Source organism: Homo sapiens, chromosome 15, assembly GCF_000001405.40.
Source record: "Homo sapiens chromosome 15, GRCh38.p14 Primary Assembly".
In the NCBI taxonomy this organism is placed as follows: Eukaryota; Metazoa; Chordata; class Mammalia; order Primates; family Hominidae; genus Homo; species Homo sapiens.
This window is the reverse complement of record NC_000015.10, coordinates 22517866-22531058: the sequence shown is the minus strand read 5'-3', so window position 1 is coordinate 22531058 and position 13193 is coordinate 22517866. Positions and strand designations below refer to the sequence as shown.

Below are 13193 nucleotides of genomic sequence, written 5' to 3'. Positions count from 1 at the left end.
AGCCAATCAAAATTTATAGAACACTCCAGCCAATAATAACAGAATACATAATCTTTTCAAGTATCCACAAAACAAATACTAAGTTAGAACATATCCTGAGGCATAAAACAAACCTAACAAATTTTTTGAAATTAAAATCACACAGCATATGTTCCCTCAAACAATGGGAACAAATCTGAAGTCAACAAGAGAACAATTACAGGAAAATTGCCTAACTCTCAGAAACTAAACAATAAACTTCTACATAACCCATGGATCAAAGAGAAAGTCTCAAGGGAAATTTTAAAATATATTGTGAACTGAGAGAAAATGCAAGTACAATACATCAAAATGTATGGGAAAGAGCTACAGTGGGTGACGAGAGACAAATTTACAGCACTAAATGAATGGTACATTAGAAACTTGGAAACAAATCAATAATATAAGTGCCCACGTTGACAACCTAAACGAAAATTAAAAATAGCAAAATCAACCCAAAAGTAAGCAGAAAGGAAGAAATAATTAAGGTAAGAGTAGAAACAAAGTGAAAACAGAAAAACAATAAACAGTAAAGCAAAAAGCTGGTTCTTTGAAAAGATCAATAAAACTGACACACCTCTCTAAGCAAGACTGACAAAAAAAAAAAAAAGACATAAATTACCCAACATTAGTGATGAAACAAGCTCTAAAGATATGAAAAAAGATAATTAGGAATTACTAGGAACAACTCTACACACATAACTTTGACAACTTGGGCAAAATAGACTTATTCCTCAAATAATGCAAATTACCACAACTCACCAAATATAAAATAGATCATTTGAATAGCTCTACCACTATCAAGAAAACTGAATTCATAATTCAAAGAATCCCAAAAAAAAAAAGAAATTACCAGATCCAAATGAACTCACTGGATAATTCCATCAAACATTAAAAAAGAATTAACACAGACTCAAAACAATCTCTTCTGGAAACTAGAAAAGGAAAAACTTCCCAATTCATATTAAGAAGCTAATATTAGAGCCAATATTAGCATTTTAAGAAGCTAATATTAGAGCCAATATTAGCATTTTAAGAAGCTAATATTAGAGCTAATATTAGCATTTTAAGAAGCTAATATTAGGTACCGTAACTAAAGACAGTACAAACTACAGAACAATATACCTTAATATATATATAGACACAAAAATATTCAGTGAATTATTAGCAAGTAGAAGTAAACAATATATAAAAAGAATTCCACATCATCGCCAAGTAGTTTCATTCCAGGAATGCAAAGCTGGTTCAACAGTCAAATATCAATGTAACCCACCCTATTAATAGACTAAAGAACAAAAATCACATAATTACATATCAATTGATTTAGAAAAAGCAAATGACAAAATTCAATACTCGTGAATGATAAAAATTCTCAGAAAATAGCAACAAATGGGAACTTCATCATCTTGATAAACAGCATTTACAACACCTTAAGCTAAAACCTATGCCAACAAGAATGTCAGAAAGGGTCCTCCCAGACCTATTTATACAGCAGAGAGAATCATTAAGAATGATTTAGATAGTTACTAAGAGTTTACTCTCCTAAGAGATTACAACACCCAATGGCCAGCAAGCCCTTTTCATTAGACAAAAAGAAAAGCTGTGATCTGTCAACACTCTCAGAAGGTTCACTGTGAAATGTGCACTTCTGAACTCCTGCTGAGGGCCTACACGCTGCAATGTTGAGAAGCAAGTGTCCAGAGGTCTCCTTGGAAACATTGCAAAAAAAATGTGAGGGACTGATGGATGAATAGAAGGATGAAAAGGTGGAGAGAACGGTGATAAAGCACGTGGGATGATGCCAGCGGCACAATCTTAGGTGGTGAATATGTGGGTGCGCGCTGTAAAATTCTTTCAACTTTTCTGTATATATTTTTTTCATAATAAAATGTTGGAAAAAATAAACCTGTGAAAAAGGAAGCTTTAGTCAAACATATCTAAGCAAAAGAAAAAACAAATTCTAAATTCCTATGGCTCAAATTAACGTGTTTTTCTTTTTAGGCTGAGATGGAAGAGTAAAAAAACAGAAAAAGAAATGAAAGGAATAGGAGCTATTCTAACAGCTACAAATTCCACCTGCAGTTTGATTAAAGATGGCGTGGCTCAAGAATATGCTTTGAATCCAAGCCCCTTCAAGGCTGCCAGGTACAGAGTCGGTTCTGCAAAAGCTCTGTACCTGTGAACAAGCAGAGCTTCCAAATAAACCGATTAAAGCTGCCCTGAGTCAATAAGCCGGGCTTTAATCTGAGCAAGAAAGGTACATTTTTAGTCTAGTTACCCACCCATAACTGTAGGTACTTTGATACCTAGGTGAGGGGAAACATGGAGAAAGGCAAAATAACAGATTTTTAAAATCACAACAAATCTTTATCAAACATTTGTGCCAGGCACTGACTTAAGAGCTTCAAATGCATTATTTCATGTCATTTGCACAGCAACTCTCTGAGTAAGTACTTTCACTTATTTTATATATAATTTTAATTATTTACATTATATTATACTTATTCCTTTTTTTTGTTTGTTTTTTTTGTTTTGAGATGGAGTCTCACCCTGTCACCCAGGCTACAGTGGTGGTGCAATCTTGGCTCACTGCAAGCTCCGCCTCCTGGGTTCATGCCATTCTCCTGCCTGAGCTTCCCGAGTAGCTGGGACTACAGGTGCCCACCACCACGCCCAGCTAATTTTTTTGTATCTTTAGTAGAGACAGGGTTTCACCACGTTAGCCAGGATGGTCTCGATCTCCTGACCTCATGATCCGCCCGTCTCAGCCTCCCAAAGTGCTGGGATTACAGGCATGAGCCTCTGCACCTGGCCACTTATTCCTATTTTATACATGAGAGGCCCAAGGTGAGACAAAGTGATTTGTGTAGAGTCAGAGATAAAGCCAAAATTGATACCCAGACAGACTGAAAAACTTCTCTGTCAGAAAATCTAGAAATGGTAAAGGGAGATCTTCAAACTGAAGGAACATGATAACACAAGGTAGCTGGGACAGAAACAAAACCTTAAGGGCCCATAATGGTAAAATGAAAGTTAACATAAAAAACTTTTTTTTGGCCAGCCATGGTGGCTCTTTGGGAGGCCGAGGTGGGTGGATCACCTGAGGTCAGGAGTTCGAAACCAGCCTGACCAACATGACGAAACCATGTCTCTACTCAAAAATACAAAATTAGCCAGGTGTGGTGGCGTATGCCTGTAATCCCAGCTACTCGGGAGGCTGAGCCAGAATCGTTTGAACCCAGGAGGCAGAGGCTGCAGTGAGCCAAGATCATGCCATTGCACTCCATCCTGGCAGCCTGGGCAACAAGACCAAAACTCCGCCTCAAAAAAAAAAAAAAAAAGAGGCCAGGTGTGGTGGCTCACACCTATAATCCTATAATCCCAGCACTTAAGGGTGGCTGAGGCACGTGGATCACCTAAGGTCAGGAGTTCGAGGCGAGCCTGGCAAACATAGTGAAACCCTGTCTCTACTAAAAATACAAAAACGTTAGCCAGGCACGGTGGTGTGTGTCTGTAATCCCAGCTACTAGGGAGGCTGAGGCAGGAGACTCGCTTGAACCTGGGTGGCGGAGGTTGCAGTGAGCTGAGATTGTGCCATTACACTCCAGTCTGGGCAACAACAGCAAAACTCCGTCTCAAAAAAAAAAAGACTTTTTTTTCTCTTTTCAAATTTGAGGGGAAAAAATGTAATTGCCTATTTAAAGCAAAAACAAAAACATCATATTGTGGGGTTTATACCATGTTTCACTTGGACATGACACAGCAACACTACCAACCAAGAACATGTGAGAAGCAGGAAGCTACAGTCAGAGCACTGCCCCGCGGCTCAGGCAGTGTAATACCATTTGAGAGTGGGCAGTGACAAGTGAAAGATGTAACTGAAAACGCCAGAGATGATAGATTTAAACCCAAGTAGTCTAAAGATTCCAAATAAAAAACAGAGGTTGTCAGGGTGAATAAAGAAGCAAGACCTAATTAAATGATACCTGAAAGAAATCTACTTTACACATACACAAAGTTTGAAAGTGAAAAAAGCTAAACCTGGCAAACACACCACGCAAACACCAAATCAGAAGAAAGGAGAGTAGTCAGACCAAGGTGACTTCACAACAAAGAATGTCACCGGAGATTAAGGGGGTCAAATTTATGAATATGGCGTAAAAATCCTAAAAGTGCATGCACCTTATAACATTCTCAAATACATGAAGCAAAACCTGCAGAGCTGAAAGAAAATAATCCATAATTAGCATGAGAGATTTCAATTCTCCTCAGAAGAAAGAGGAACTAAGCAGTGAAATTGCTCTTCATGCCTCCCCAGCACAATGGAGATACTCCTGGGAAATAAAGCCAGTCACTGGGGCTGATCTCCCAGAACACTGAGACTGGCTTCTCTGTAAATAAATGACTGGTATTTGCTAGGAGAAGTGTCCTTATCTATGAAATGTTTTTAGCAAGATGTGGTTAGTTTAGGATTGTGTTTGGTAAACATACCTAAAATCCATGGACTTATGGGACATGGCTCCCTGGAAAAGGTTCCCTAAGGTGTATAAACTATCTGACTACAAAACGGGAACACTGCACATCCTTAATGCTCCTTGTGCAGTGAGATGACGACACACCTCAGTGAGAGGACCACACGCCTCAGTGAGAGGTCTCATCTCGCAGGCCGGGCTCAAAGAGGATGGACCTGCGGGGGTTGCACAGACTCTCCCACATCTCTCCCCACTTTGCCTGAGCACACAAGTGAGGATATTACTTGTATCTTTAAAGTTACTAAGTAATCAGCTACGGGTAACATCTCTGAGATTCATGTCAAACTAATGTGGTAAGCCAACCTTGTGTGTTAGTTCAACTCCTCTCCTAACAGTGACTAGAACAAGCAGGCAGAAAACTATTTCAAGTCAAGGATACCTGAACACTATCAACTTGATCTCACTAAGCTTTACAGAGCAGCAAAATACACTTTTTTTTTTTTTTTGAGATGTAGTCTTGCTTTGTCACCCAGACTAAAGTGCAGGGGTGCAATCGAGATTACAGGCACCCACCACCACACCCAGCTAATTTTTGTATGTTTCGTAGAGACAGGGTTTCACTATGTTGGCCAGGCTGGTCTCGAACTCCTGACCTCAAGTAATCCACCCACCTCAGCCTCCCAAAGTGTTGAGATTACAGGCAGGAGCCACTGCACCCAGCCACATTCTTATTACATGTGCATGAAACATTCCACAGAATGCACCATATTCTGGGGCTTCAGACAAGCCTCAGCATTGAAATCACAGAATATGTTCTCTGACTACAACTAATTTAGAAATTGTTAACAGGAGATATTTGAAAATCCCCAAATATTTGGAAATGAAATAACACATTTCCAAATAATAAGTGAGTAAAAGAAGAAATTAAAAGGGAAATTAGAAAATATTTTCAACTGAATGAAGATGAAAATGAATAAACATTTCCAAATTTGTGAAATGTGGCTAAACAATGCTTAGAGGGAAATTTATATTATAGTCTTGAACACTTGTTAGAAAAGACAAAAAATCTGAAGTCAATGATCTAAGCCTTTACCTTAAGAAACTAGAAGAGACAGAAGAACAAATGGAACCCAAAGCCAGCAGAAAAAAGGAAATAATAAAGAGTAAAGCAGAAATCAATGAAAAAGAAAACAAACAAAATCAATAAAACCAACAACTGGTTCTTTGAAAAAACTCAAACTGATGACTTCTAGGAAGACTGATCAAAATCGAAAGAGAGAAAATACAAGGCACATTTCAGCAAATTTCTGGATAACAGGTAGTATATGCTGGTACTTACTACATGCAAAATAATAGCATACGCACTTTGTCTGGCCTACTGTACTGATCCCATAATAACCTATGAGGTAGGTACTACTACTAACCCCAAATACGAATTTTTTTTTAAGAGACAGGGTCTCACCCTGTCACCCAGGCTGGAGTGTAGAGGCACAATCATAGATCACTGCAGCTTCAAACTGATGGCCTCAAGCAATTCTCTCACCTCAGCGTCCCAAAGTGCTGGGATTACAGGCGTGAGCTACCATGCATGGTGTCACTAATTATTTTTATATATGTACATTTACATATGTATGTCCATGCCAGGAAAGAAAAGCCTGAATATCCACTCTGAAGGGATAATAGTGGCTAACTCTTAGAGGAAAACTGAAATTGGGGTGGGCAGCCAGGTGAAATTTCTGCTTTTATAATCGATACATTTTTATAAGAAAACATTTATTTGATGTATATTTTTAATTGGAACGAAAATGCATCAGACATTTTAAAAAATTCAATTACACACAAAAAAGTAAGCAAAGAATAAATATATGGGTTTTACTGGGTTGGAGAAAGGGAAGAGATTATGAAAGTCCATCCATGATAAGGAACTCCTATAACCCAAAACAAAAAACTCAATTAAAAAATGGAATTAGCTGGGTGTGGTGGTGCCCGCCTGTAGTCCCAGCTACTCGGGAGGCTGAGGCAGGAGAATGGCGTGAACCCGGAAGGTGGAGGTTGCAGTAAGCCAAGATCATGCCACTGTACTCCAGCCTGGGTGACAGAACAAGACTCTGTCTCCAAAAAAAAAAAAAAAAAAAAGAAAGGGCAAAAGGGCCAGGAACAGTGGCTCATACCTGTAATACAGCACTTTAGGAGGCCAAGGTGGGTGGATCACCTGAAGTCAGGAGTTCAAGACCAGCCTGGCTAACATAGTGAAACTTCGTCTCTACTAAAAATACAAAAAATTAGCCAGGCACGGTGGCGGACACCTGTAATCCCAGCTACTCGGGAGGATGAGGCAGGAGAATCACTTGAACCTGGGAGGTGGAGGTTGCAATGAGCCAAGATTGCACCACTGCACTCCAGCGTGGGCAACAAGAGCCAAACTCCATCTCCCCAAAAAAAAAAAAAAACAAAAAACGGGCAAAGGATTTGAATAGACATTTCTCCAGTGAATGTATACAAATGGCCAATAAGCATGTAAAAAGATGCTCAGCATGACTAATCAACAGGGAAATATAAATCAAAACAATGAGATGCTGTACCTACTCACACAAATTAGGATGGCTATCATCAGAAAACAAAAAGTGTTGGTGAGGGTGTGGAGAAATTGGAACCTTAGTATACTGCTGCAAGAATGTAAAACAATGTAGCCACTGTGGAAAACAGTTTACTGCTTCCTCAAAAAGTTACACATAGTGCCAGGTGCGATGGCTCACATCTGAAATCTCAGCAACTCAGGAGTCTGAGGCAGGAAGATCCCGTGAAGCCAGGAGTATAAGACCGGCCTGGGCAACACAGTGAGATTCTGTCTCTAATTAGTCAAGCGTGATGGCTGGGCAACAATGTCAATATATTTAATGCCAATGAACTGTACACATAAAACTGGTTAAAACGGTAAGTTACATGGTATGTATATTTTACCACAATATTTAAATTTTTTAATTAGTTTTTAAAAAATTGTTACCAAAAAAATACTAAGAATCCATTCAAGTTATTTAGAAAGGGAGTGTCAGATCAACCTTTCCAAAGTGCCAAAATTCGCAAGATCACCTGGTTGCTTGCCCCATACCCAGCTGTCCAGAATTGACTTGGCCCTATATATAGGTGCAGGAGTTTCTTCTTCATCTTTTTTCTCTTTGTCATTCAGATCTTTCTTTGTCCCACTTGGTTCGACACTATCATCTGCAGAATTAAAAATTTTTTAATCTGTCACCGCTTTTCAGAATGTCATACCGTTAGCCTCTGCAAATGTCCCTCCCCGAAAAGTTACAACACACATGATTAACTGAATGCTTGACAACTTAAAAATAAAATACATCAATCATACCTGTAACAGATCCAGTATAATTTTCATAAAGAAACCAATATATTGGCCGGGCGTGGTGGCTCATGCCTGTAATCCCAGCACTTTGGGAAGCCATGGCGGGTGGATCAGGAGGTCAGGATATCGACACCATCCTGGCTAACACGGTGAAACCTCGTCTCTACTAAAAATACAAAAAATTAGCTGAGCATGATGGCAGGCGCCTGTATTCCCAGCTACTCGGGAGGCTGAGGCAGGAGAATGGTGTGAACCTGGGAGGCAGAGCTTGCAGTGTGCTGAGATCATGCCACTGCACTCCAGCCTGGGTGACAGAGCGAGACTCCATCTCAAAAAAAAAAAAAAAAGAAACCAATACAACAAATTATTTAAAGGATGTCTTCCAAAATGATATTCCATCTACTTCCTAGTACATTTCTTAACTGAGAAACTTAAGTCTTTCATATTTACCTACTTCAATTTCACACCAATTGCTTTTATCCAGTGAGTCCCAGTGCTTGTGTATCCATGGGAAAAGGGAGGGTGTAGAACAAGAGTATGATTCAAAAATCTTTTAACTCTTTACAAGGCCCTACTCCACTGCCAACTGGGAAGCACTGCTATGCAGGGGCACTGTCACTGCTGGCATAATTCAAGAGCACTGGGACACAAAGGAAAAGCTGAGAAAAATCACTTTAGGCCACTGACAATGTCAAGTTTCAGTCAAAAACAACTGTCATAAAACTCCTTACACAGTAAGCGAAGAGAAGAGAGAACTAACCTTAACCTTGAAGTGTAAACACATTCCATCACAGAAGGCTGTGACTAAATGTCTAACAACATAATTAGAAAAATGTATCTCAATCGGGGAAAGACATGATATCCCATCCAGATTACAAATAATGACTATCTAAAAATCTCGAAGGAAACAGTTCCTCTGTTTATAACACTTCTGACACCAAATGTATGGACTTTTGCACCAAGCAATTCTCCAGTTCTCTGCGACACCCAGCTTTGTGTCCCACAGTGCAATTCAATTCTGAAACTAACTACCTAGAATTAGCACAGACCCCACAGGTTAATAACAAGAGAGAAAAGGTGAATGCTGAAAAAAATATCCAAAGAACTAATGGCTGAAAACTTCCTAGGTTCAGCAAATGACATAAACCCAGGCAGACTGAAGAATCTGCACAAAGCCCACACAAGATAAATCCAAAGGAAGCCATGACGAGGCACATCATAATCAACTGCTAAACACTAAGGACAAAACCTTTTGAAAAGTGCCACGGAAAGTAGATACAGAAGAATTTCTCGTGTGGCCTGAAATTAAGACTAAATATTACGTGCTGCCTTGACATTGGTAAAATCAAGAAGGCCTCAAATAGCCTAACCACAAGGTCTCCCCTGAGCTCTGCTCTCACGGATAAGATCCCAAAGCCAAACAACCTCCTTATCGCGGAAACCCGACCCCAGCCTGCTCATCCCTGCCGGCCCAGAGTTATTCAAACAAGCCAGTCACATCTTCCCATGGAAGCAAGGTCATCTCACCCTCCTGTTACTACAAAATGTGCCTCCCACAGCCCCTCGTGGTTCGCTCTGTTCCCAAGTGCAGCCCCCGTGTGGCATGCGGTGTCCCCCACCCCAGGGCTGTGAGCATGCGTGACTAATAAACTGCTATTTCATCTGTCCAGTGTCGGTGTCCTACGTTCAGCCATCCCATATCCCTAGGGCAGGAATCTTCTAGGGTTATAAACAGAACTTTAATCAACCTCTCCTTGGTTATTTTACTGGTTCCATGATACAGCTTTTTCTGTGCAAAAGATCTGAACAGAAACTCACAGAGGATACAAGAGTGGCAAAAAAGAACATGATATTCAGCATTGTTAGCCATTACAGAATTGCAAATTAAAACCACAATGAGATCCCACTAGACTTGTTAGAATGGCTCAACTAAAAATCACTGATAACACCAAGTGCTAACAAAGACACAGAGCAACAGAAACGTGACAGATTGTCAGCGGGAATGCAAACTAAAACAGCCTCCAGTTTACCAAGGTAGACACCTCGAGTCACAGAATACAGAGTAGAACCCAGCCAGGAACACGGCTCAGGTGAGAACACAGGTGCTGGCTCTGAATGCCAGACTCTGCCGTGTGTGTGTGTGTGTGTGTGTGTGTGTGTGTGGTCACTAACCACAGCCCACAGGACAAACCCAGCCCACAGCCTTTTTGTGTATGGTCTGAACACAGAGAAAGTATTTTAGTTTTGTTGTTCTTTTGAGATGGAGTCTTGGCTCACCACAACCTCTGCCTCCCAGGCTCAAGCGATTCTCCCAGGTTCAAGTGATTCTCATGCCTCAACCTCCGAGGAGCTGGGATTACAGGGGTGCATCACCATGCCCGGCTAATTTTTTGTTTTCAGTAGAGATGGGGTTTCACCATGTTGGCCAGGCTGGTCTCGAACTCCTGACCTCAGGTGATCCGCCTGCCTCAGCCTCCAAAAGTGCTGGGATTACAGGTGTGAGCCACCACGCCCAGCCACCGTATTTTATAGTTTTTAATAATTGAAAAATAATCAAAAGAAAAACAGTATTTTGTGACTTGCAAACATTCTGTGGACTTCATCTTTTCGTGTCCATAAATAAAGTTTACAGAATGAACGTCCCCAGCCCGCTGACGTAGTATTGTCTGTGGCTACTCTGGCACTACAGCTGCAAGGTCCCATGGCTATGACAGAGACCATAGGGTCCATTGAGAGCTTAAAATATTTACTATCTGGCCCTTTACAGAAAGTAGGCCACCCCTACCCTACATCTGGCTATAAATTTTACAAATTTGACAAATTCTGAGACCCTGTCTCAGAAAATAAAATAAAATATTCATAGTCTTAATAATGGAAAACAAAAACATTTACTGAATGCCAAAACATCTCCCTAACAATCCCAATCAGTTGGGATCTACATAAAGAACAATTATGCTCTGCTTTCCAACCATGATTTTTAAAAGAACAAAAGACAAAAAAATTCATCAAATGTGGGCTGGGCATGGTGGCTCACACCTGTAAACCCAGCACTTTGGGAGGCCGAGGTGGGTTATGAGGTCAGGAGTTCAAGACCAGCCTGACCAAGATGGTGAAACTCCGTCTTTACTAAAAATTCAACAATTAGCTGGGCATGGTGGAGGGCGCCTGTAATCCTAGCTGAGTACTCAGGAGGCTGAGGCAGAGAACTGCTTGAACCCGAGAGGAAGGGGTTGCAGTGAGCCAAAATCATGCCGCTGCACCCCAGCCTGAGCGACAGAACAAGACTCCCTCTCGAGAGGAAAAAACAAAAAAAATTCATCAAATGTAATGAATAAAACATATACTTTGGATTTTGCCATGTACTTAGCTTTTCTTAGAGCACCTTTTAGAACTATTGTTTCACAGAAAACACTTTGGGAAACGTTTTAATTTATAAACAAATACTGGAGGGCTAGGAAGAAGAGGTTAAAACTTTTTAAAATATACAGAATGAATTACTGATACAGAAAAACAAAAAAAGGTTGCTGATTCCTGTCTTGGAAGACACTGTCATATGGACACTCTTAGCCTCAGCATCCAGAGGTCCAGAAAGGGAAAATTTCAAGTCAGAGAGAATTCTATATATACCACTTACTTGGAACATTCAGCCCTCAAAATCCCAACATCATGACCTCAGTTTCAACACAATTGTCCTTAGTCCTTATGTCACTGCTTTTGGTGCTGCCTGCTGTCAAGGCAGTGGAAGCCAGTGATGCAACTGCTCTCTCGTTAAAAGGTGTGGTTCTCAGTATTACAGGTGTTTGTACTTGCTTGCGGGTATACGCACGAAAGATAAAAATGAACAGATGTGACTTTGAAGGGCCTAATGAATGAAACCTCACCCTGAAAACCTTTGTGCTACTGAAACTAAATGTAAGCTTTGGTGTCTGAAAGTTTCCAAGAATTAGTAAGTAGGAGAGTTTTACTTTCTGAGTTGATTCCATGAAATGGGAACAAATTGGTACATAAATGGATTTTGCCCAGAATCCTAGGAAATCGCCACTGTTCAGTCGTAATCACTGCCTCCTAAATCACTGAGTCTGTTCTCTGTATTTTTATTAGACTTTTGTCATCTCCCAAATTCAGATATCCAATAGTCAGCCAAAAAGGGAAACTTTTATCTCTGGAAAGAAAAAAAATCATTTAGAAAAATGTATTCAGTGTATCTAATACTGAAATGGAGAAAAGACTTAATGTTAAAGAAAAAAAAAACACTATAGACATTGACATGGAAAAGAGATTTAATGTTAATAAAAACTTTATATTAACTGAGTAACACCTCCTGATGAGAAGTGCTATATTAAATATAAACCCATTATGTTGTTTAAAAAAAAAAAACATGAAAATCAAAAGCACTAAACAGAGTGAAAGAAGCCAAGACACAGAAGAACCCGACTACATGATTCCATGTATGGAGTTCTAGAACAGGCGCAATTTGTCAATGCTGGAGAAACATCAGGCCAGCTATTGCCTCTGGGAAGAAGGGGCAGGACACCAGAGAACTTTCTGAGCAAGAGTCATGATAAAGATGTGGGTTACACGGGTTACATTTGTCAAAACTTGTGAAATGGTAAACTCAAAATAGATACATTTCATTATATATAAATTTTACCTGAAAGTCAAAAACAAAGTTGAACTAGAATCAATTACATACATGAGTGTCTAAGGAGCTAGGTGAGACAAACGGTGGATGGACAGACAGCAGGATGTGGAGCCAAATACGGTGGCAGAACATGGAGGTGGGTCTGCAGCCACTCACTGTACACGTCTGTCAGTTATTGTGTGTGTGTGTGTGTGTGTGTGTGTGTGTGTGTGTGAATATTTTCAAACAAATATAAAAAATAAATTAAAATAAAAACACAGGTAACTCTGCTTGACACTGAAACTGAAGAGGGAGACTAATACTTTTTCCCATGGTTTGTTTTGTGTTTTTTGTTTTTTTTTTTTTGAGATGGAGTCTCACTCTGTCACCCAGGCTGGAGTGCAGTAGCACAATATCTGCTCACTGCAACCTCCACCTCCCGGCTCCAAGCAATTCTCCTGCCGTGCCCTCCCAAGTAGCTGGGATTACAGGCGCCCGCCACTATGCCTGGCTAATTTTTGTATTTTTTAGTAGAGACGGGGTTTCACCATGTTGGCCAGGCTGGTCTCAAACTCCCAACCTCAAATGATCTGCCCGCCTCAGCCTCCCAAAGTGCTGGAATTACAGGCACGATCCACCGCGCCCGGTCCCCAAGTATTTTCAAGTGGACACCATCCCAATTCATTCCACAAAAGAAGAATAAATACTTGCCAGGCACGGT

General features: G+C 40.3%; 1 pseudogene across 1 annotated transcript in view; it reads right to left on the bottom strand.

Annotated features, from left to right (window-relative positions):
• Positions 1 to 13193, bottom strand: part of HERC2P2 (HERC2 pseudogene 2) — a 95995-nt pseudogene that overhangs the window by 59773 nt on the left and 23029 nt on the right. The window lies entirely within an intron of this gene.